General features: G+C 38.9%; 1 protein-coding gene across 5 annotated transcripts in view; it reads left to right on the forward strand.

The window, feature by feature from the left end:
- PCTP (phosphatidylcholine transfer protein) overlaps nucleotides 1-22020 on the forward strand; it is a 101665-nt gene extending 79645 nt beyond the window's left edge. For 3 of the 5 annotated variants that reach the window (XM_047436502.1, XM_047436499.1, XM_047436503.1), the window contains exon 7: nucleotides 12032-12812. The gene's annotated coding sequence lies outside the window, so the exon portion shown is untranslated. Of the gene's footprint in view, nucleotides 1-12031; nucleotides 12813-21947 lie in introns of those variants that run through there. The other 2 variants (XM_047436500.1, XM_047436501.1) reach the window with 2 other exon arrangements.
- The last annotated feature ends 4471 nt before the right edge of the window (nucleotides 22021-26491 follow it).

The following is a 26491-nucleotide window of genomic DNA, read 5'->3' on the forward strand; positions in this document are numbered from 1 at the left end:
ATTAAAACAGTGCAAAACAAACACATTTGTAAGTGCTGAGCAGAGAAATACACAGAAAAATGAATCTTTTTAGTTGAGGGGTTAGGGGAGATGGAGGTTGCCATGATGAAATCAGATTTCTGGGAGAAGGCTTAGACATGCCTGGGAGCACATGAAGTGGTGTCAGGCCGGCTGCTGTGAGGCAGCAGTATAATAGTCCTGCAGGAGAAAAATTAGATTTCAGAGGGGTGGCTGAAAACATGAGGTCAAAACTGATACAAAGGCAGATTTGTTCCTAACAGAAAACCCTCTTGCCAGCTGTCGGCGCCTTCTCTTCCTGCCAGGTTTGCAGGGCAGGGGCAGCAGCCTTCTTCCCTTTTGCCCAAATAGGAGAAGAGCCCATTCAATCGATTACGGGCTGTCCAAAGTGGGCTGAGACCGGAGAGCTTTTCTTCTTCTCCTCCCACTTTCCCTCCAAAAGCAGCAAGGGTGAAATGCCAGGTTTAAAAAGCGACTCGGTAGCTGACAGTTCTTGTAATACTCCCAGTCTCAGCTGCTCTCCTAACTCCAGGGTATAATTATCCTTGTACTTAATTGGAGGTTCAGGAGAGCTTATTAGCTTGCTCTGTTGTTGCATAATTCAGGAGTTCAGTTCAAACTTCCTTAAAAGTGAAGCAAAGGCACCACTTTGTGGTGCAAGAAGCAAGGCTGGACAACTGAGGAGGGTCACACCTGGCTCCATGCCCTCCCTGTTCTGCGGCTAATTCACTGGGTAGCATCAGCCAAATAGCCAACCGCTTTGGGCATCAGCTTCCTTCCTTGCCAATGAGGAGACAGACCTGGGTTAGTATTTGCGAAAGGGTGTTACCTGAAACACTTGCTTTTCAAGAGGCTTCTTTAAAAAAAGGGTTTTGTGTCCTTAAATAACTTCAGAAAATGTTGTGTACCAGGCATGCCTGTGGTGTATATAATAGATTGTCTCACTCAATATCTGTTCCAACGTCAAGTTTACTACCTAAACCCTGTATTTCCCAAATTCCTTTGCACTAGAGTCCCAGATACGATTAGGCTACCAGTCACCACGCCCGGCCAAACAGACATTTTGCCATCAAAACAGAAACACCCGGCTGGACGTGGTGGCTCACACCTGTAATCCCAGCACTTTGGGAGGCCAAGGCAGGCAGATCTCGAGGTCAGGATATCGAGATCATCCTGGCTAAAACAGTGAAACCCCGTCTCCACTAACAAAAAATTAGCTGGGCGTGGTGGTGGGCACCTGTAGTCCCAGCTACTTGGAGGCTGAGGCAAGAGAATGGCATGAACCCGGGAGGCAGAGCTTGCAGCGAGCCGAGATTGCACCACTGCACTCCAGCCTGGGCGACAGAACGAGACTCCATCTCAAACAAACAAACAAACAACAACAACAACAAAAAACAAAAACAGAAACACCCAAGCAAGCTTGAGTTTCTGTCTCTCCTTTCTGCACACCACAATAGTTCTGTCACTACGCCGTTGGAAGTATATTTTGAAAGCTCACTCTCAGGTGAGGATATGAGATCCTTGAGGGCAAGCTCTGTGTCTCAATTATCTGTATTCCTTAGTACCTAGAATGCTGATTGCACAAAGTATCATGCTATTATTATTTTTACTATTTTAATGTCCAGATACATCCTTCTTCTAAAATGGCTACTGCCTCAGGACGTTTGAAGGGGGAAAAGAAGAAGAGAAATTTCTGCTCCAGGAAGGCTTGGAATGAAGAACACAGATAGCAAATTGTTCTTCTCTCCTTTCACCTCTACTCCCAGTTTTTAAAGTCTCTCACCTGCAAACTCATTGGTGGTGTTCTTTCTTTGCTTGCAGTTCTTACAAAGGCAAGAATGCCTGAATATTTGGTTGAAAGAGCATCGATGGCTTCAACCTGAGTGTGTTTTCCAAATTCATGCAATGTATTATGCCCCTAGGCCTTTGAGAGCTGCTGCATGTAATCCCTAATGCTATGGCTGACACATGTGTCTATCAAATTGTGTCTTGTCTGAGCCTTCTGGGCACAAAGGAATATTCCCTTGATCAATATGTTCGATGGGCTAAAACAATTTTGCTGAATATCAAATATTGCCTGTGTTCTGCTAGGCCCTGGACATTGGAGTATGATTTACAACATCCCATTTTTTTGATCAGCACCCCAAGCTAAGTTGAGGGCTTTTGGGGCTCTAAATGGTTGCAAAAACTTCAGCACAATTCAGTGTAAATGGTTTAAGAGTTTAAAGAGACCATCCTTCTCCTCTGGGGCAGTTTCCTCTTGGTTCAACTTTTGTCATATGTTCCCTGGGAACACTGCAAAGTACTGAATGCTTCACACTCACCGCCACTCTGTCCTTCAGAGGGGTGTGGACTGAGGTGGTTAGAGATGGTCTTTGAATGTGTTCGCTTAGGAAATATCACTCAGGGGAGTTGCAGGAGCAATATTTGAGCAACATCATAGATGTGAGGATATTAGAGCCAAGAGTGATCTAAGAGATAAAATAATTCAATTATTTTATTTGAGAGATAAGAAACTTGAGACCCAATAGACGTTCCACAGCAAGTATAGATACAGAAGCAAAGTTCTCAGGCTTGGAATCCAGCATCTTTTCTGAATACAACAAGTAACCTCCAAAATTTATACTTTTGAAGGAACAATCTGCAAAGAAACTTAAATTATGCCTTCTACATACTTCCTCTGAATTTCTCTAAAGGCTTTTCAAAAATGAACAATTTATCCACAGTGCTGGTCCAAATAAGGGAAGTATCCTCCCACACAAAGAAAAGTTTGTAAGTGTTTGCATGCACTGCCTGGCACAGTTTCCTCACCCAATGCCAGACTTCAAAATTAGTGGTTTTCAAAGTATGTTCCCTAGACCAACAGCATCAAATCACCCTGGGAATTGTTAGAAAGGCAAACCCTTGTGTGCAGATCTACCAATTCATACATTCAGAGGTGTTCCTAGATCTCTGTATTTTGCAAGCCTTCTAGGTGACTCTCACGCATGCTCAAGTTTGAGAACCACTTATTAATTTTGAATTCTCTTTGCACAATGTTATTTAGAAGCAATTGGAATATTCTCATCCCCCGCTGAAAGACCTTGCCTCCTGCCTTTTTTTGCCGTTCCTTAGTTTCATATCCTTGGATTAAGACTTCTAGCTCTAGATTATCCTGGACTATAAAACATGTTGAGCCTTCAAATCCTTCACATATCAGTGTGTACAATCATATCAGAAACTTCCTTAATAGCAGATTTTGATAGAGTATATTTATAACATATTTATAACTTATTTATGTCTGAAGACTGACTTACAAAAATGTAGGTGAATTAGAATAATGAAAGAGGTGTATCTCACGAAACACAAGCATAAGGAGGAAGCCCCTGAGTCTCAGGAGCTGACTGAAACTAGAGCCTAGAATGCCCACAGCACCCCTACTTTCCTCTTGTATCTACTCTGCTTTTGGAGTCAGTTTTGTTCTCTCTCTTTTAAAAATTATTATTTTTTTAAATTTTAAGTTCTGAGGTACATGTGCAGGATGTGAAGGCTTGTTACATAGGTAGACATGTGCCACAGTGATTTGCTGCACCTATCAACTCATCACCTAGGTATTAAGCCCAGCATGCATTACCTACTTTTCCTGATGCTCTCCCTCTCCCTGCTCCACCCCCAACAGGCCTCAGTGTGTGTTGTTCCCCTCCCTGTGTCAAAACTGGCTTTCTCTGCCTCTCAGTCCATGTGAGAAAAAATGGCTACAGCCTGCAACTCCTAAGTGGAAAAGATCTAGCCACCAGGAAAGAGCCCACATGTCTTTCCCAGTCTCAATTCCAAGTTCCTAGAAGGGGATTTTAGCTTAGGAAGGATCAGCTTTTCACCTGCGGTCCATCGCTTGTGTGTGTGTATAGGAACATGCCCTTTGGGAGCCCCATGCACATAATGGTGTGGATGGTGTATGGGTAGAGTTTTCTGAAAATAGGGGAGGACTGGAAAGTTAACCTGATAGACAGACAGCTTGGATCTTGGATAAGAAAGTAATTAGAAAGAGTTCTATTGAATGGTGGAGGGGATGTGAAAAAGAGGAGGGGGGCAGAGGGATGCAAAAGAATAAATTTCCCAGGTGGTAATTCTAAGGGTTTAGGCAAGTCAGTATTTGTAATAGGTTGAGTTGTGTTCCTCAAAAAGATATGTTGAAGTCCAGCCCCAGGTACCTCAGAATGTGACCTTATCTGAGAATAGGGTTATTGCAGATGTAATGAGTTAAGATAAGGTCATTCTAGAATAGGGTGGGCCCTAAATCCAATACGATTATGGCCTTATAAGAAGAGGGAAATTTGGACACAGATGCGGAGACACAGAGGGAAGACAATTATGGGAAGTTGAAGGTAGAGCTTGGAGTGATGCTGCCACAAGCTAAGTAGTCTGGGGCTGCCAGAAGCTTGAAGAGGCAAGGAGGGATCCTCCCTTAGAGACTTCAGAGGGAGCATGACCCACCAGCACCTCGATTTCAGATTTCCAGCCTCCAGAAGTGTGAGACAATAAATGCCTGCCATCCCAAGCCACCAGTTCATGGGACTTCATTATGGCAGCAAACACAGTATTCTTTAGCCCTTTCATGCATGTTGAACTGCTACCTGTCCCATGCTTCAAGCACCACAAAAGCCTAAACTCCTGCAGTCCCACTTTTCCTAGCTTGGTTCACGACAACCATTCACCTTTGGCTTAAAAATCTTCCTTCCTCATTTTCTGATTTCTACTTTGCTTCTGGCTTATTGACTTATTACCTCTTCTGGCCTCATCATTCTTTGGATTTTGATATCCTTTACTATTTGATATAGCCAGTTTCAAATTATTCCCATTGCAAGGGATAGAAACTTAAATATGGAGGATTTATTAGCTTAGAAGTATAAAATGCAGAGATAGTCTCACTTCAAGAAGAGTTGGTGATAAAAACTCAGACATTGTCGCTAAGACAATGTTTCCTTTATCCCATGGGTTTGCCTTCCTTATCACTGTCCCAAACCCCCATCAGGCTCTCCTGTCTGGTACAAGGTGGCTACCTGAAGTGCCAGGCTGAGGTCTGACCAGCAGATTGACTAGTAGGACGTCTTTCTCTTGATAGTCCCAATAGGAGTTGGGAGACCACAGTCTGCCTATTTACCAGTAATGAAAACTGAGGGAACATACTATTTTAATTGATTCCAACTGGGTCATGTGTCCTGCCCTGGAGATTTGGAAGGAAGTCAGCTAAATCTGAATCAAATGTGCCCACAAAACACTTGCTGAATGGGAGATTGATATTGGGAAGGCAAAAATAAAAAGTGTCTAGTGCATCTTCAACCTCAACTTAGATTCTTTATTCTTCTGTGTTGCAATAGGCTAGCAAATACCTATTGTGGTATAACATGACCCAACCTTGTAGGTTCACTTAGTTTTTTTCCCACCCTGAAGGAGAAGTAGGAGAATGAGTGCCTTATGAGTTCAACCAACATGTTTACTCATAAAAATTCAATCAAATGACATAATTAATATTTTCCAATTCATAAAAAATGACATAACCTAGTGGATAGAATTTGATAAACTACATGCTTTTAGCCCAAAAAAGTTTTCTAAAATCTTTGACAACTGATACTACTTGTGTACACTGTAAACTAAAAAAGAGTGGTTTAGTCCACCATTATGTCTTTAATTATTTTTTCATTGAATATACCAAGTGCCCCAAAGACAAGGTTGAGTCAGTGGACTTTTGTCTGCCTGTGAGGTGAAGGGTCTTCTCTATCCTTGCCTTATCTATCTCTTTGAAGCACTTTCCTTCAATGGCCACCTAACGCATATTCTTTGCAGAACTGGGAGACTTCCTGGGTTATCTTCAGCAAAACAGACTGCTACTCTTCACAGAAACAGCATTCTTCTCCTTAAAGTTCTTCCCGGGCCTAGGGCTAAACTATCAAGTATGTTTTTGAATATATGTTAGCTTCAACTCCATACCTTTGTCCTGCCATTGTTTCTTCCTGGAACACATTGAAGACAAAGTTATAGCTTTATTGTCTTCTGCCATGAAATTTTCCTTGGTCACCTCCATGCTAAGACTACATCAATAAGAAATAAATACATAGACCTTGTTCTAGTAAGAGTGACTAATAATAAGCCAAAATTATACAAATAATTCTATATTTCCTGTTGTGATAGGCAGTGAAAAGGAGAGTGCTGGGGGAATGTACATCAAGGGGATCTAACCTAGTCGATGGTGGAGCAGGGAATAGAGAAGGTGTCCCTGAGACTGTAGTGTTTAAATAGAATCTTGGAGGAGTAGCAGGACTAGTCTGGTGATGTGAAGGTTGTATGGTGGTATGGTGGAGTTTGATCATAGATATGGTAGTTACAGGAAGCAGTTTGGCATATCTGAGAAATGAAAGGATGACAACATGGAGGCAGCAATGAGTAGAAGGAAAGTGAGATGAGCTCACTCAAGGATGGAGGTGCAGCCAATGATGAGGGAGAGTCTTGTGAGCCGCATGAAGAACTTTAGACATAATGCTGCAAGCAGTGGGTGGTAATAACAAGATTTCAGACAATGGCAACCTAAATGGGTTTGCATTGGTAAAGGCCATTCTAGCTTCCATGTGCATAATGGATTGGGGAGAGACAAGAACGTGTGCACTAGACTCTTAGATTGTATTCGTACGGTGTTGAATCATCACTGGGAAACTTCCTTTCTTGGGTACCTATAATGGTACTTGCCTTTGATAAATGTGCCTCTTAGACGATTTGGATGCCCTTAAAACTCGACATGTCTAAAACCTATCTCATCATCTTTTTCAATGCCCTTTCGCCCCATAAAACTCCCAACCTGGGTCACATGTCTTGGCAAATAGTGCCAATTTTCATTAGGTTTCGTAATCCAGAATCCTCATATGTCTTCCTTTCTCTTTGTCTCCCTCACCAGCTCTCACTCCAAATCCTTTGCCAAAATTGTCTATTTAATCCCCCTTACATCCTCAAATCCATCATATCTCTCCATGTCTGTAACCATCTTCTGACAGAGCCACCATCATCTCTCTTGCCCAGGGGTCGACTTCTTCCTCATTCACTTCATTGTCCTCACTCTGCCGACTCCCTGCCAGTCTGATCTTTGCACCAGAGTGTTCTTTTCAAAATGCAAGCTGAGTGCTGTGGCTCACACCTTTAATCCCAGCACTTCAGGAGGCCATAGCTGGGAGAATCGCTTGAGGCCAGGAGTTTGAGACCAGCCTGGGAAATATAGAAAGACCTAATCTCTACAAAAATAAAAAAATAAAAAATAGCAGGGCATGATAGTGTGCACCTTTAGTCCCAGCTACTTGGAGGCTGAGACAGGAGAATCTCTTGAGCCCAGGAGATTGAGGCTGCAGTGAGCTATGATTGCACCATTGCACTCCAGATTGGGTGACAGAACAAGACCCTGTCTCAAACAAAAGAGAACAAAAAAATGCAAACTTAATCATATTTCAATCCTGTTTAACATCTTGTAACAACTTTCTTTGCTCGTAAGCTTCAGACAGAATTCCTTAATACAGCCTGCAAGCCCTATTCAGTGCCTGGTCAATAACCACTCTCAGCCGCATTCATCTCTGCTCCAGCCACAGTGAAATCTGCAATAGAGGTTGTCCCTACTGTCCCCTCTGCCCTATTGTCATGATTTTGTTAGCATATATTCCTACATCTCATCTCAGTTAAAGGTTCACTTCCTCAGGAAGCCTCTTCTAACTTCCCTGACCAGGTCAAATTCTCCTACTATAACATCTCTTAGCTCCATGTTCGTGCTTGTTGCAGTTGCAATTTTGCATTTGTCTCAGTTAATTTCTCTTCCCTCACTAGATTGTAAGCTCTGTGAGGGAAAACTTAGCACTGGTTTTTGCTCATCATTATAGCCCAGAATCTCAAAGACCTTCCATGATATTTATTGAATGAAGAGTGACGGAATAAACACATATCAAATGATGCTTTTTATTGAATATCTAATGTGAACCAAGCAATTTATGTGCATTATCCCAGACCTCACCACAATCTGGAAGACAACTCGGATTTATTTTTTAATTTTAAAGATAAAGAAAACTGGAGCTCAAAGAAGTGTACTTATCGGAGATTACAGAGCTCATAAATGAGCTATTTAACCTATCCAGTATTAAAAAGCTAGTCTATCTGTTTCTATGGGCTGTGCAGTTTCAACCATAGCATACAGAATGCTAAGGCTCGGGGGAAACTGGAAGGCATTTGATCTAATTCTGTCATCTTGCTAGAAGGAAGCTGAGGCTCATGGTTAACAAAACCAAACCAAACCAAACAAAAACCAAACAAAACAAAACATACACATTCACATAGAACATCCATAGGAGAGCGCAGATAGAATCTGTATCTCTCTTGACTTTGTTTTTTCTATTATCATATGTCATTTTAATCCTCTAGTAAAGAGTAGCAGCAGTGACTTAACAGATTTTTTTTCATTGCTGCTGCTTCTTAATCCCTTTTGAGCCTCAATTTCTTTTTGTATAAAAGGGGAACAATAACGATTTTGTAGAGATGAGGTATGCAAAGTCTCTGGCTGCAGTGAGCACTCAGTAATAAGAGCTATTTATTGGGCCAGGATTCCAACTACTTTCATAAAAATAGCAGGAAAGTCAAATGGAAAGCTGACTTGATGGTAGGGGAGGCTTCTGCCCACCAACTAGTTCCACGTTTCTCAACCCTGCACTGAATGTTAAAATCACCTGGGGAACTTCTGAAAAATTATGATGTCTGGTCCCAACCCCATGGAGCCTGGTTTATACAGGGACAAGATATCTATAGGTTTTTAAAGTTTCTCCAGGGGATTCTAATGACCACCCAGGGTGGAAAAGCATGGAGCTAACTGGGGTGCAGGACGAGTGTCCTCATAAGAAGTCAAAGGTTTGGTGATAAACAACAACTGGCCGGGCGCGGTGGCTCACGCCTGTAATCCCAGCACTTTGGGAGGCCGAGGCGGGCGGATCACGAGGTCAGGAGATCGAGACCATCCCGGCTAAAACGGTGAAACCCCGTCTCTACTAAAAATACAAAAAATTAGCCGGGCGTAGTGGCGGGCGCCTGTAGTCCCAGCTACTTGGGAGGCTGAGGCAGGAGAATGGCGTGAACCCGGGAGGCGGAGCTTGCAGTGAGCCGAGATCCCGCCACTGCACTCCAGCCTGGGCGACAGAGCGAGACTCAGTCTCAAAAAAAAAAAAAAAAAAAAAAAAAAAACAACTGAAGCACGTTTTCAAGGTGAGATCCATTGGAATGTATATTCCTGTCCTTAATTTAGTTTAAAGTGATGGATGTCTTTTTATTTTTTCAAAGAAACAACAACAACAGATTTTTTAAAATTTTGCACCAGTCACCGTTGCCCAAAGTGGTCATCCAGTGGTCATATCTGAATTGCTCTTGTAGCAAGGAATTCTGGAAAACTTCAGGGCATAGAGTCTGCTGGGACAGGGTGGGGGTGGAAATACATGACTGAATGGTAAATAAAACCAATTTTCTTGTTGCTGGCTTTCTGGCTACTTAATGTAAAGCCATAATTATTTCCATAGCAACACACTCATCACATACAACATGAATATGTAGATTCCCCAGAGGGAAGATGGAATAAACTGTATCTTTGTACACTTTACTTGAAAAAGAAAAATAAAGCTTGTATAATTCCAATCCACAGTTGCATAAACAGTATTTTACATCCATGTAGATAATTAATCCAAATTCATCTATAACCACCAGAAATGAATGATGTGCTCACTGAGGCCATAGAAAAATACCCTATACAGTAGTGCACATCCGTGATTTTGTTTTCCATGGTTTTGGTTGCCCATGGACAACTACAATCCAAAAATATTAAGATATTTAGAGAGACAGCGCAAGAGTGAGAGTGCAAGCACATATTCACATTACCTTTATTATGGCATATTGTTATAATTGTTCTATTTTATCATTAGTTATTAATGTTGACTTCTTACTGTGCCTAATTTATAAATTAAACCTTATCATAGGTACATAGGTATAGAAAAAGAAACAAGAGTACAAGGTTCAGAATTCCAAATCTGAAAATCCAAAATCTGAAATGCTCTAAAATTTGAAACTGTTTGAGTGTCAACATGATATACATTGGAGCATTTTAGATTCTGGATTTTTGGATTTGGGATGCTCAAGCAGTGCAAATATTCCAAAATCCAAAAAAGTCTGAAATCCTAAACACTTCTGGTCCCAAGAGTTTCGGATAAGGGATACTCAACCTGTATGTATAGGGTTTAACGCTATCTGCAGTTTCAGGCATTTACTGGGGGTCCGTGAAACATATCTTCCACGAACAAGGTGGGGACTACTGTAATTGATACGTATGTGTATGTGTGTTTGCAAGAGACAGAGACAGAAACAGAAAAAGATAAAGAGACACAGAAAGACTTGAAATCATAGTACATGGAGATTTTTAGAGGGAAATCCACGTCATTAGTAGCCTCCTTTCAGAATTAAAGCTCTCAAAGTACTCTGATTATTGAAGCACTTGAGGCATTGGTACTAGACGGGTTCACAGCTTGGAGATTGCACTATAGGCTGCAGATCATGCAGGGAAAGAAGACAAGTAGTACTGTGGTTGTGGAACTTCCACAGAGGAGAGGTTGTGGGTCGCCATCTGGTGAGAAGGGCGCAGTAGAGTTGGGTGAGCATGGAGGTGTCTCAGAATATTTGAATTGAAGTCTTACTATGGCTTTTATGCAGATTATATTTTTACTGACTTTGACTTGGAAATGGAGATGTGATAAAACATTCTTGAGTCACTACTTTGGTATTGCCACTGAGAAGAGCTCTCCAGTTTTCTCCTTTACCTCTTTAATGCCACGGTCTGTGGTTTTGAAGCTTCTCTAGGATCTATAATTCTGGATCTCGGGTGAATATTCCAAGTGAGGAGGGGGCGGTCATACCTTGGGTGAGATCAAAATAATGAGCACAGAGACTATCCTGCATTTCCTGGAAGAATCTCAATTCCAATCAGTCCTCTGTGATTCCACAAGGAATTTTTAGATTGGGTATGCAAATTACTCATACAGAAATCATTGTTTCTAGAGATATGACATGGTGATTCTCATTCTGGCTGACTGTTTTAATGTTCTCTCTCCTTATACCTTTTCCTATACTCCCATATAAACACAAAACCATCTCTGTCTACCTACCTCCCTCCCTCTGAACCTCTATTTACCTATCTAGCTAATTCTCTTTATTGAGATATAGATTGAGTATGTGTGTATATAGAAAAAATATATAAGTACACCTCCCATATTCAGAAAACATTTACTGAATATATATTATGCACAAGGTACTCTCATATACTCTTAAAATACTTCAATGAATAAAAAAAGAAAAAGTCTTTGTCCTTGTGAACTTTACATTTTTGGGGTTGAGGGGAGCAACAGGCAATAAACAATAACTATAATAAACAAGTTACAATAAGAGATACACAAAAATTAGTGTGGGGCAAATGGAATGGGGCATGGGGGCAGGTTGCAATTTTAAATAAGAGGGTCAGGAAAGTCTACAGTGAAGGTACACTTGAATAAGTAGAGGCGTATATTATCCAGAACTGGCTCTTGAACTTCAGAGCAAATGGGAACTGTTTGGTTTAAGTTACGTGTTTTTTCCATTGCCTTATTTTCACTGAGATGTTGGAAGTCCCAGGAAATTGTGTATTGTTATATCAGTTCTTGAATGGGCAGAAATTTGACTGAGAAAAGCCAGATCCTAAGTTAATCAGAAAGAGACTGCAAAGAGCCAGGCTTTAGTTTAAAAAGTGAAGAACCAGACTGGAGAGATCAAGACCAGATCTTGATGACAGGTTGGCATCAGCTTGGAGGCGTGAAGAAATTGGACAATTTATGGTCAGCCAGTCAGGTTGCATCATAATTCCTAGTCTGCACAAGAACTCAAGGGAAAGAACAAATAAGTTTTCCGGTTCTATTTTCAGTTTATTTGCTCTCTGTTTTATGGATTTCAGACTCTTCAAAATACTCTTCAGTGGCTTTGTTTCCAAATGAAAACCAGAAAAATGATGCTGGAATTTCATAGAGGCAGCGGCGGATGGAAGAGGGCTCCTCCTGTCTATAACCATGGGAATATTGTTTTTGATTGTAGACCAACTAACTGCAAAGAGAGAAGACACATAAATAAGACAAGCCCTGGAAAGCACATGTGGTGTGACGGTGTCCTGCCAAAGCTGAGAAGACACAAATAAAAAGTAATTATTTACTCTTTGTAAGAGAGTGTTCTAAACCCAAGACACTGATTCATAGATGCTATCATGGCCCTGTAAACACATTAAAAATCAAATACAGGTTATATTACATGTACCCAGTTCATCTTACAATGGTAAAGTCCAGAAATTGTCAACAGTCTAAAAAAATTCTAACTACTTGTCATATTAATGATGTGTAATAAGGTATAATATTGATAATATTTTATATTATAATAATGTTATATTATCTTATTTCTTCTAGTCTTGATCTTGTTTGTTTTCAGGTCTTAGCCATGAGGGCATTTAAAATGTTTTCTGATTATGTTTAAGGATGATTGCACTGCATGAAATCCTTCAGAGGCCTCACACTTCTTTTAGGATAAGATTCAAATGGCTTATGAAGCACTAGGAAGTCTTTTTGATCTGCCCCCCTCCCCATCTACCTCTCCAGACTCATCCTGTGCCACTGTCCCACAGGCATCCTTCCTGCTGCCAGAACAACTTTATGCAGTTCCACGAATAAACCGTGGTGTTTCATGCGGCAGTGTCTTTGCTCGTGATAGTTCCTTTGTCTAGAACATTCTTCCTGCCCTCACTCACCGGACTGGATTTATCTCTTCCTCCGCATAGTTCTTCTAACCTTTCTTTCTCAGTCAGACTGAATAGGGATCTGAGTCCCATAAGACCCCAGGCAAACCTCTCGCATGACTCTTACCAGCTTGAAATGTTAACAGTTGCTCTTTTTGTTTCTTATGCCAAAGACTAAGAATTTCTTGAGAGTAAAATTGAAATGATCTCTTACCCCAGCTTCCAGAATAGAGTAATAGTTCTTAGTATATATAGTGGCTCAATGTATATGTGTGTATATGAAATTAAATTGAAGCACTGAAGGTCTCAAATATTGCAATATCCACAAGGTAATGAATCTGGGAACTTTCTGGCAATCATTACACTAATGTCAGTGACAGAGATGGAGCTCAGAAAGTTATAACTATTATTTTAAGAAGCAATTTTCCAAGGTCAGCAGTTTACCATGAGAGCCTACTGACTTTCTCCCTAACCCACAGGAGACAGATTTGAGAGAGGAAGCGATAAATGGCTTTTCAATTCCATTTACTTCCACAGTTTTTAAACGCTACATCCCCACTGTCTTCATATAAACTCCAACCAGCATAGACATCGTATTATAAATGGAATTATCACCTTGTAACATGGCAGAATAGTTTGTCTTTGATCTAAGATGGACCAGCTAACAACTCTATCTGTGCAAGGCCATTTTGTGTGCAAATTAGAAAGCAGGTGGAATCTGTGTAATTATAGGACACACATCTGGACCTGGCTCCTTTCTTTATGCATCCATTCCATTTGCCCAGGCTCTGGGTCCCCAGCACTGTGTCCTGTGCAAAGCTGACCTCCATTGCTACACTACTGCTTGTCCAAACTTTCCCATCTTGAGGCTCTTTTCAGTGCTTCTGATTCGCCAATCTATTGAACTAATTCCTGTTAAGCTGCCAGTGCCATAGATTCATAGAAGCTTAGAGTTTTAACCCTTGAGGTCAAATGCAGGACCTTCATTTTACAGAGGAGAAATAGAAGATCTGGAGAAGGGGAGGTAGCCAGCCCAAATTCATACCGCGGACAGGCAGAATTATCATTTAGGTTCTCCCTGACATTCCAGTATAGACTCACCGACATAGAATCTAATCCCTGCTCAGCCATTTACTGATATAATTATGGAAAACTTGCTGAAACTCTCAAAGTCTCTGTCCTTGTCCTCTGTAAAATCCAGAAAATGGTAACTTCCACCTCACAGGGTTGTTATAAAGGTTAAATAACAATATATAGACCAGGCGCGGTGGCTCACGCCTAAAATCCCAGCACTTTGGGAGCCCGAGGCGGGTGATCACCTCAGGTCAGGATTGGAGACCAGCCTGACCAACATGGTGAAACCCTGTCTCTACTAGATACAAAAAATTAGCCGGGCTTGGTGGCACATACCTGTAATCCCAGCTACTCGGGAGGCTGAGGCAGGAGAATCCCTTGAACCCGGGAGGCGGAGGTTGCAGTGAACCAAGAATGCGCCATTGCACTCCAGCCTGGGCAACAAGGCCAAAACTCCATCAAAAAAAAAAAAAAAAAAAAAAAAAAAAGACATCTAACACGGTTTTAGCACAGCTTCTGACGTGCACTAAACATTTAATAAATGCTGAACAACTTGGAGCAGGATCTTAGAGGAGATGCTTTAGAGCAGGGTTCCCTTTTAGCCTTCAGCTCAGCCAATAGGTGTTTATTTTGACCACTTCCAGTAATGCACTTTGCTCATAGGTCTTTCAAGATAAACGGAACGTCCCTAATAATTAATGTTTTGGTTATGTGCCCACTTGAGAAGAGATACCACTTCAGCCTCTTCCGTCTCCGTGGTGCAGCCAGGCCCTAGCGTCTCTCCATCCCCGTTCCCCGCGGGCTCCCAGGACGGCGTCCGCGGGCCTCAGCGACTCTGCGGAGGGTTTCCGCGGGATGCTCAAGGGGGCAGTGTGGTCCTGCCGAAGAGGGCCGCCTCGCCTCGAGGAACGCCTTGGCCATTTTCACAGGAAAATGTTTACCCTGGAAATTAAATTATATTTGGGATTTTGGGTTTCCCCTCCCCCACCCCGCCGTGGGAGGTTTCGGAAAGTTACTGTGGTGCCCAGCGCAGTCAGAGGCCTGTCAGCATTTCAGCTCCGCGCGGCGGGCCCTGCGGCCTCCTTCAGCACCTGGGACCCCCGGGACCCCGGGCGTGTGAGGGCCGAGCCCCCCCGTGAGGCCCCTGGCTCCGCACCAGCCCAGCAACACCCCCTCCCCCCATTCTCCCATCTTTAGCCACTTTTGGATCAACAGCTTAGGATGAATTTCAAACTTAAGTTGGATGGTTTGAGAGGGTTGGGGTGTGTGTGTGTGTGTGTGTGTGTGTGTGTGTGTGTGTGTATGTGTGTGTGTTCCCAAATATTACTGAGAAAGTGCTCTTGAAATGCGCCCTGTGTATCCATGGATTCATGCATATTCATAGCCTGTTCCTCTCTGTAGGTTCAGGTTTTTCTTTTCTGTCAAACGAGGCATTAAGTAAATTCTAAGGTCTCCTGCATCTCTGACATTCCAGAGTTCTAGATATATAAGAATAGAGAGGAATCTGTGAAAAAGTCCAACCCTGGGGAACTCCTTCCTTTCTCTGTGGCTTTACACAGTGAAACCATCACCCAATGCTCTTGATAACTTAAAGATGAAAATTTCCTGTTCTCCAGATATCCTGCTCAATTCACCCATCATGTACCACCAAATATAGATTCACTGCACTTTGTCCTGTGTCAGGGACAGGGGTGGCTTCTGCACATAAAGTGGTGAAGAAAACAGGTACACTCCCTGCTCTAATGGGCCTTGAGGATTCGTGGGGATATCGCTGCTACATCAATAATCACACATAAAGGGGGTGAAATTACAAGTAGAGGTGAGCGCTTTGCAGGAAAAGTAAAGGGTAAGATAAAGTGTAAAGAGGATCTAATTTAGCATTAGGGGTCAGGGAAAGGGGAAATGATCTTCTAGCTAAGATATGAAGGACAGGTGGAAGGTGGCCAAGCAGTGTCTGTGTGGTACATCATGTGTAAGAACCAAATTACTGCCATAGAATGGCTGTTTGAGAGTGATAAACCCCCTCTTTTGGCATCCAAGGAAGAAATTAAGTCACTCTAATTCTCAGAGAACACTTATAGCAAAGTCCATGATAGTTCTTATAGGTAGTTATATTGTCAAAGATTCAGAGCCTCTCACAGTGAGAAGAAACCTCAGAGGTCACCTGACTCAAATCTGTTCTGATTTAAAAATCTCCTTCAAAATATGCTATACAATTATCAAGATTCTGCCAGGAGTCTCAGCTACTCAAGAGTCATTTTTCCCACTCTTGACAAGTCATTTTCCTGCCATTGAGTTCTTAGATTCCCATTACTTAGATTTTCCTTGCTAGACTGTAAATTCCATAGGGCAGGAATTTTGTCTTCTTTGTTCAATGGTGTTATCTCAAGTGTCATGAACAGTGATTGCCATGTAGTAGCCTTTCAAAGCACATTTATTGAATGAATTCACTGAGACTAAAATAGGCCTCCCTAGATTTTTGCTCACTGGCCTTAGTTCTGCCCTCTAGAACAACAAAGAACAAACCTAACATCTTATGTAAGGACAGTCTTATGGTCATTTAAAAATAGCCATCATTTTCTGGTTATTCTCTTCTCTCTGTTAAATACTTCCAAGTATGTAGTTTTGAAACTCTCAACATTTTGATCACTATTTGGGATTCAATCTGACATGACCAGTCACCTGATGTGTTTTGGCTCCATGGCCCTACCCAAATTTCATCTTGCTTGTAATCCCCAGGTATTGAGGGAGGGACTTGGTGAGAAGTGATTGGATCAGGGGGGCGTTTCCCCTATATGTTGTTCTGGTGATAGTGAGTGAGTTCTCAGGAGAGGTGACGGTTTTAAGTGTGGCATTTCCTCACTCTTTCTCTCTCTGTCTCCTGCTGCCATGTAAGACATGCTTTGCTTCCTCTTTGCCTTCCACCATGATTGTAAGTTTCCTGAGGCCTCCTCAGCCATGTGGAACTGTGAGTCAGTTAAACCTCCTTTCTTTATAAATTACCTAGTCTCTGGTAGTGTAAGTTCCAGTCTGAAAGCTGGCAGTCTAAAGACTCAAGAAGAGGTGATGTTTCAGTTTGAGTCCAAAGACTAATGTCTCTGTTCAAAGCAGTCAGACAGGAAGAGTTCCCCCTTGTTCAAGGGGGGGTCAGCCTTTTTGTTCTGTTCAGGTCTTCACCTATTGGATGATGTCTATCCATATTAAAACAGAGGGCAATCTACTGTTCAGTCTACCAATTCAAATGTTAATCTCATCTCCAAATAGCCATATCCAGAATAATGTTTTTTGTTTTTGTTTTTGTTTTTGTTTTTTTTTGAGACAGAGCCTCACTCTGTCTCCCAGGCTGGAGTTCAGTGGTGAGATTTCAGCTTACTGCAACCTCCACCTCCCAGGTTCAAGCAATTCTCATGCTTCAGCCTCCTGAGTTGCTGGGACTACAGGTGCATGCCACCACACCCGGCTAATTTTTGCATTTTCTTAGTAGAGACAGGGTTTCGCCATGTTGGCCAGGCTGCTCCTGAACTCTTGACCTCCTCAGCCTCCCCAGTTGCTGAGATTACAGGCGTGAGCCACCGTGCCAGGCCCAGAATAATGTTTGATCAACTATCTGAGCAACCTGCAGCCTAGTCAAGTTGACACATAAAATTAACCATCATATTACCTATCAGACTATCAAAGAAAAGTGTGTGTAAGGAAGCTTTGAAGAATTAACTTACAGTGAGAGATAGTACCTCATAGGTGAGAAGTAGCTAGTGGCATCTTCTGGGAGGAGGGTAATTGGTTGGGTTTGTATACAGGCAGAGGGAGAAGAAAGTTTTACCCTTACTAGGTCCAGAGGAACCTGTGGAACTAATGGCAATCATGAGAGCAGATGGGACAGATTACATTCAGAAAAACTCCTCATGCACTAATAATTTGCTTGAATAATTATTCTTTCTAATACTTACCCCCTCCACAATTTTGCTGTGAACTGGCAGTGAAGGCAGGACCAAAACCCAGAAAGAACTTATTCACTCTCAATCATTCTTTAGGCTTGGAAACTGGCCTTAACCCATTCAATCCAAAGGTGATAACTGTGGCCCAACCCCTTACCAGCTTCAGGATAAAACACTGATAATGAAAGGCAAACCCAGAATCATCAGGGCCTACAGCAACAGAGCTGGAAGTTGGGAATTGTGCTAACCAGAAATGTATTTGACTTTCTAATGCTGGGGTCCAATCCCAAATTAACTTATCTCATAATAAAATGTAAATGATCACTCTCTCAATTTAGCTATCACACATAGAAAACAGTTCATGCTTACTGGAATAAATAAAAAAAAATAGTGGTATAACTCAGTCTCCATTGTAATTCTATGCACAATTTAATACAATAAAATATTATGAGATGTGAAGAAGCTAGAAAATAATATCTATCATCAAAAAATAATTCAACAGAAACACAGATGAACTAGATATTGCAACAAGCAGACAAGGAGTTACATATTATTATAATAACGTTTTAGGATGCATAGGAAAAGATGAAAAAGTAAATGAATAGGCAAAGATCTCAAGAGAGGTTTGGAAAGTATTAAAAAAAAGAGCCAAAATAGAAATTCTGCAGCTAAAAAATACAGTAGCTAAAATAAATACATATTAGATGGCTGAAAAGGAAATGTCTAGCTCCAGATGGTTTTACTGACAAATTCTACCAAACATTTAAAAAATAGCACTACAGTCAGGTGCGGTGGCTCATGCCTGTAATTCCAGCACTTTGGGAGGCTGAAGTGGGTAGATCACCTGAGGTCAGGAGTTCGAAACAAGTCTGGCCAACATGGTGAAACCCCATCTTTACTAAAAATACAATAAATGGCTGGGGGTGGTGGCGGGCACCTGTAATCCCAGCTACTCAGGAGGCTGAGGCAGGAGAATCGCTTGAACCCAGGAGGTGGAGGTTGCAGTGAGCTCAGATTGTGCCATTGCACTCCAGCCTGGGCAACAAGAGCGAAACTCTGTCTCAAAATTAAATAAATAAATAGAAATAAAAAATAGCACTAATTCTACACAATATCTTCCAAATAATAAAAGGAAAGGAAAGATTCAATTCATTTTATAAGACGAACACTACCCTAAGACCAAACATAGACATAGATCAATGCCAAAAAAACAAAACTATAGACCAATATTTCTCATTATCCTAGATTCAAAAATTCAAAAAATTTTAGCAAATTGAATTCATCCATATAAAAGTATACCACAACCAAGAAGAGTTTATTCCAGGAATACAAAGACTGGTTTTGTATTCAAAAAAATTATCAATGTAATTTGACATATTACAGTGGATTTTGGTTTATATTAACTAAAGTTTATATTTATTAGTTTATATATAAACAGTTTAAATAAGAAAGACTTCATGATCATGTCAAATCATGCAGAAAAGCCATTCAAAATTGAATATAATGTGGCCTAAATTATACTCATTTTTATACCAATTTGGTCATAAAATGTAACCTTTAGTATCTTTTATTGAGAAAGGGACCCACAAAAGCAAATGTACCTAGGTCCTATGAAAGTCATAAAGCAATCCTACTCTGGAATTATATAGATAATAATTAGTTGGTAATCTTAAGTTGTATCACTGTAATATATCAGTTTGTTTCCTCATCTATACAATAGGAGATAATGAATAGTTTTTATTTCATAGGAGTGTCGATTTTCAAAAGATTATACAAATACCTAAAAGCTTATTAAACTGCTTTTTGTATAAGGAATAACAATAAATGGTAGCTGCTCTTAAAATGCATATATATGATATGATATGTACTTTGCTTAAACTTTCTGTATTTTTAGTTTATCAGTTAAATTGGGTTAGGACATTTGTATTACAAGACATTATACATTTTTGGAGATTCTTTTCCAGTTTCACAAAGTTTGCATAAGGCTTAAAAACTGCAGTTATACTTTGCAGGCTAATTCCCGTCCTAGCATTTATGCAAAGATCTACGAAGATCCAACCAACTCCTGTGGGCTTTTTATGGGATGATGATTCTGTCATATACTTTCTATGGCACGTAGGTTTCAGTTATCTTCTCAGTAGCAGAAAAATGACTTATATTCACCCACTTTTACTTTATACTTAGTCCTCTGTTTATTTTTCTCCTCTATAAAAAAATCACTTAATGGTAGAAAAGCTTTTAAAGATATAATTTGTTATCATTGGTCAGAGATTTTTCTCCGTATGAAATTCATTGATCCTATTGGATCAAACTGGTCTGATTGGCATCATGTTCTAATTTAGTGATTCTAAAACCCACCTACAGAAGCAGAGGGTTGTTGCTTTTTAATACGAACCACTGTCTCTCACTCTGCTGATTCAGGTTTTTTAGATAAATTATTTTAAAAGCTCTCAGGTGATTCTAATGATTGACCAGATATGGAAACCAATATCTTCTCAACTATCCAAACTATCACTCATGTGAAAAAGCATTGTTATTTTATGAAAATGGACTAGGGCAAGGGGAAGGAGCTCTGGCCATTGATGCCAAAAAAGCTCTTAGATCCTATTTTTTCTTAAAAGTATGATTATGTGTAGAGTGATGAAAGTTTGTTTGACATAGTCATCTTAGTCATTACTGAGGCATAAATGACTTTGAGAATCTTATCAGTGCTATCGATAGACCCTTTCTCCAGGAAATTCAGAACATTTCACAGACAGTTTCAGAGAGTTAAAGATTTTTTAGAATATTTCTAAAACAGAGCTTTCAGATGAGCTGAAATGGACTATGGAGGTTGTCTGTAAGGTGACCCACTCAAGCTCTCAGCTAGCACGTTGAATTGGATGATATTGGGTAGTACTGGAGGCCAACCACACTGCAGAGTTTATTCTACTACATTCAGCTTTCTTTTCTTTTCGTTTTAAAGGAGGGTAATCTAACATATTATGTCTAAACTTTAATTACTTGGCTCACAAATAATAATGGAAACCTTCCTTCTCAAAGAGTGACAGAAAATAAAATACAGGCTGTGGGGAAACTCTATACATCCTTGGGTCTCAGTTTTCTTCATAAGATGAAGGGACTTATTGGGTCAGAGCAATGGATTTATTTTTTTTCTGACTATGTTTTTAATTTCAAAATATTTTAACCACACTAAATGAAATGATATAACAAACCCACATATATTTACCATCTGAATCAAAAAACCTTAATATTCTGCCATATTGGCTTCCAGTTTTTTAAAAGAGGTAAAATGGAACAACCACAATTGAAAATCACTGTATGTACTATCTTGATCTCATCTCCCTGCCTTCCAGAGGAGGCTACAATCCTGAAGCTGCTGTGTGTCATTATTGTTTTTGACTTTTATTACGTATATATCAAAAAATACAATATAATTCTACAAGTTTTGGAATTTGAGTTAAATCAAATTTGATCAGACTCTACATATTGTTTTGCAATTTATTTTTTTACTCAACTTTATATTTTTGAGATATTTCCATTTTGACATTTGTAGCTCCAGTTCATACATTTTAAGTGTTATATACTATTCTGTTGAAGTAATATATACTAGAATCTCAGAATAAGTGTGAAATTCAAGTGCAATGGAATTTATCTTTGAAGAATAAGACAAGAGTATGTCTTCTTATCTCCAGTATCCTTTCAGCATAATTTCATTGAATATAACCCTCAAACAAAAGGAGGTGACAATGAACTGGAAAAGTCGTGGTACTGTAACCACTCTCCTGGAATTTTATTCCAAATATAAGGCCAAGAAACACTCCCATTGATATTTAAGCTGAGTCATACAACTTCACCAGGTACTGCCAAACCATAGAGAGTGAGACCCAAGAACTGCAAGATCTCATAACTAAAATCCTTATTTTACCTGGCTGAATGTTTGAACCTCATTTATTGTATTTTAGAGAGATTTTACTGTACAATAGTTAATTTATATGTTCTCCTATTGATGAATATTTTGGTCATTTCTAATCACTCATTCCTAGTGTTTTTAATATCATTTTATGTTTTCTTCTACCCAGGTTTGAGTATTTCTCTAGAGAATTCATCTAGGAGTGAAACTGTTGAATAAACAGCTCTGCAGATCTCCTCCAAGTGATTGTACTAATTTATTCTCTAACCAGCCATTATGGGCTGATTATCTGTGCCCTCCTCAAACTCATATGTTGAAGCCTCAATCCCTAGTATGATAGTATCTGGAGATGGGACCATTGGGAGGTAATTAGGTTTAGACTAGATCACAAGGGTGGAGCCTTTATGATGGGATTAGTGTCCTTATAAGAAGAGGAAGTGAAATGAGAGCTCTCTCTGTCAGCATGCACACAAAGAGGTCATGTGAGCACACAGAGTGATGGCAGCTGTCTGCAAGCCAGCAAGAGGGCCCTTACCAAGAACAGAATCTGTTGGCACCTTCATCTTGGACTTCCCAGCCTCCAGAACTGTGAGAAATAAATGTCTGTGGTTTAAGTCACCTAGTCTAAGGTATTTTGTTATAGCAGCCTGGGCTAAGACACTAGAATTTACAAAACTTCTCATTGATCCACGACTTCATTCAGCATTTACTGGCATTGTCAGATTGATGCAAATCTGATAAACATAAAAAGGTATCCCATTTTGGTATTAATTTACATTTCCCTGATAACTGGGGAGGTGTAATACGTTTTAATGATTTTGGTCCCTTCAATTACCACCTGCGAATTAACTGTTTACATATTTATCACATTTTTAAAAGAACAGTTGTCTTTTTATTATTGGTTATGTTAATATGTCATAGATCTGTTTATAATATATTAACATATGAATTTATATTTTAAATAACATATATCTATATAAACTTATGTATACAACACATATATGTTTATGTAACATATGTCATTTATTTATATAAAACATGTTACTTACATAACATATTTATAACATGTTATAAATATAACATATTTATAGTTATATGTTATATATTACACATATAATATTAAAATATATTTATATTATATATAGCATATTTTATATGTTATGTGTTATCTGTTACACATACATTAACATAAGTAATATGTTAATAGTCAACATAACATATTTAAATTATAACAAATTTATAACATATACATATTTTAACATATAAAACGTGTATATTTATATGTTACATATTATAACATATGTTATAAATATAACAACATTAACATATATGTATTAATATTATCTTTCAGTTCATGACTTGTCTTTTAATTTTGCTTATGGTGGTTTTCTGTCCTACACAAGTATTTACTTAAAAAAACTTGAAACATAAGCTATACACAGGAAATTGCACACAGCATAGGTGTACAGCATGAAGAACACACCTATGTAGCCAGCACCCCAGAGGCCCCATCATGCTCCCTCTCAACAAACCTTCCCACAAAGGTGAACACCATCTATCTACACTTACTACTTAGTTGTGTCTGTTTTCTGAACTTCATATAAATAGAATAGTGCAAAATATATTATTTTCCTCAATAAGGTGCTACTTAAATGTTTCTGTGTTTTTTTGTAAGGCAATAGTTTGTTCCTTCTCCTAATTCTTTATTTTATTATTAGAATATACCATAGATTATTTTTTCTACTATTAATAGACTTTTTCTTCTCAGTTCTTGGCTAATACAAATAGTTTTCCTATGAACATTCCTATACATGTTGGAGAATATATGCAAACAGAACATTTTGGTTTGACATATAGCTACAAGTGGAATTGCTGGTCCTAGAGTCTGCACAGTACCACACAGTATTTCTAGTACTACACATTATTTCAAAATTTTACACCAATCTCTATTTCTACCAGCAATGCCTAAACAGTCCTATTGCTCCACAACAATGCTGTCTTTTGGTATTGACAATAATTTTCATTATAGCCATTCTTTATGTGTAGTATAGGCTCTTGGTATTTGTAATACATATTTTTCTGGTGACTAATGAAGCTGAATATCTTTTAAAATTATGTTTTTTGGAATTTGAATTTCCTCATCTTTTGTAAGGGCTGTTCAAGTCTTTGGTTTATTTGAAGTAATGGTTGTCTGTATTTACCTTTTCTTTGTATATTCTAGACCCAAATATTTAACATATACATGTTATGTATGTATATGTATATTACATATGGCATGTTGTATATGTGTAAAACATGCATAGGTATGTATATATTTTATACATGTTTGTGTATGTATGAATATGTATATTCACCCAGAAATATATATACACATATGTAAGTATACATACATAATATATGATATATATTTTTATATGTGTGTGTGTGTGTGTGTGTGTATAAAGTATCTTCCCTCATTCAATGATCTGTCATTCAATCCCTAATGGCATTTTTTTCTTCACTGTATGACTTTTCTATGCTTTCTATATTTTATATTTACATATTCTATATTTTCTATATATCTTGAATCATAAAATTACCTTTTAAAAATTGAGGCATAGCATAGTCACAGAAAGGCACACTTCAGTGCATAACTCAAAATTTCACACATTGAACATGTCCACATAACCAGGCCCCAGATGAAACAGGATACTGTAAGTCCCAAGTCTTCCTTGCATTTCTTTCCAGTCACAGTTTTCCAGGTGGGGGTGGGGAGTCACTAACCTGACTTCTAAATGCATGGAGTGGGTTTTCATATTTTTAAATTTAATATAAATAATGTGATACTTCTTTTGGGGGGTGTCTGGTTTAGTTTGTTTAATAATAGATTTTGTTGCTGTCTTAGTCCTTTTGGGCTACTATAACAAAATACCATAAACTCAATGGCTTATAAGAAACAGAAATTTACTGCTCACAATTCTGGAGGCTGGGGAGTCCAATATCAGGGCACCAGCAGATTCAGTGGCTGGTGAGGGTTCATTTCTGGTTCATAGATGACACCTAGCTACATCCACATAAGGTGGAAGGGAGAAGGCAGATCTCTGGGGCTTCTTTTATAAGGGCACTAATCCCATTTATGAGGGTAGAAGCCTCCTGTCCTAATCACCTTTTTAAGTCCTCACTTCCTAATATTATCACCTCTGAGGTTAGGTTTACAACATATGACTTTTGCAGAGACACAAACATTTAGACCATAGCAGTTGCTTAGAGCAACTATTTTATTGTTAAATAGAATTCTCTTCTATTAATATGCCATAATGTATTAATCCTACTCTAGACGGATATTTTGATAATTTTTATGTTGTAGCTGTTACAAATAACACAGCTATGAATGAACAATATTGTAGATTTTTTGAGAGCATATATATGCATTTCTTAGGTGTAGAATTGCTAGTTCATAGGATATGCATGTGTTCAGCATTAGTGGATACTTCCAAATAGTTTCTTCAGTCTTTTTTTTAAGCCAATCTACACTCCCCTCAGCTGTCTTTAGATATTTGAAGAAGCCAGCCAAGTCCAGAGAACTAAAAAACCCACTTACAGACTTGAAGTTGAAACAAATGGTTATGTCTTTGAACAACTGAGATTAAGGGTAGTTTGTCACACAATATTATTGCCTCAATAGACACCTGATTGACTTGCATTCTTGGAATAAACTCTCATTTGGTTATATTATCCTTTTATATACCACTGAATTCTAATTGTTAATATTTAGACTAATGATTTAACAATTTTTACATCTATGTTCATTAGCCTGTTGACATTTAAATTGCCTTTTTTGTAATGCCCTTGTCATATTTTAATATCAAGCTATGCTGACCTAATAATTTGAGATGAGAATATTCCCCTCCCCAACTCTAAACATTTCCTCCCCTAATCTCTTCCAGAGTGTGTGAGAAATTGGTGGTGTTTCATCCTTAAATGTTAGGAAGAAATCACTGTGAAAGCCTTCTAGTCCTTGAGATTATTTAGCAGAAAGAATTTAAATTATAGATCAATTTAATTAATATATATGAAATTATTAATATTTATTTCTTCTCATTTCAGTTTTGGGGATTTCTAGAAAGGTATCAATTTGACTAAAACTCTCAAGTTTACTTATATAAAGTTGTTAATATCCTTTTATTTTCTAGTAATATCTGCAACATCTATCTGTGGCGATGACCTCATTTTAATGTCTGATATTAAGGGGTTTTCCCCTTCTCTGTTTTTGATCAGCTTTTTTAGCTGAGTCCATGAATTTTATTAGCCTGTTTTGTTTTAAGAACCATTTTATTGTTTAATTTTTATATTAATAAATTTGTCTTCTATCAATTTGTTCACATCAAGATTTCTGGATTTTTTTTCATTTTCTTAGGGTAAGGTTTTTTTCAACTTTTTTAGATTGGATACTTTCATATTTTCTAATATATTCATTTTAAGCCTATAAATTTTATCCTTAATAGCTTCAGCTTTACTTCACATCATCTAATAGCAGTAGTTTCATCATTATTTAGCTCAAATACCTTATATTATTTTTTGTTAATTCTATTTTGATGTGGATTATTTGGAAGTATGCTGACTATTTTTTAAAGAGTAGAAATTTTCTGGTGATCTGTTTGTTTTCAATGTGTTGGTTCATTCTCCTGTGGTCAGAAAACAGGCTCCGAATGGTGTATCTATCCTTGTTCTGTG

This window comes from Homo sapiens, chromosome 17, assembly GCF_000001405.40.
Source record: "Homo sapiens chromosome 17, GRCh38.p14 Primary Assembly".
In the NCBI taxonomy this organism is placed as follows: domain Eukaryota; kingdom Metazoa; phylum Chordata; class Mammalia; order Primates; family Hominidae; genus Homo; species Homo sapiens.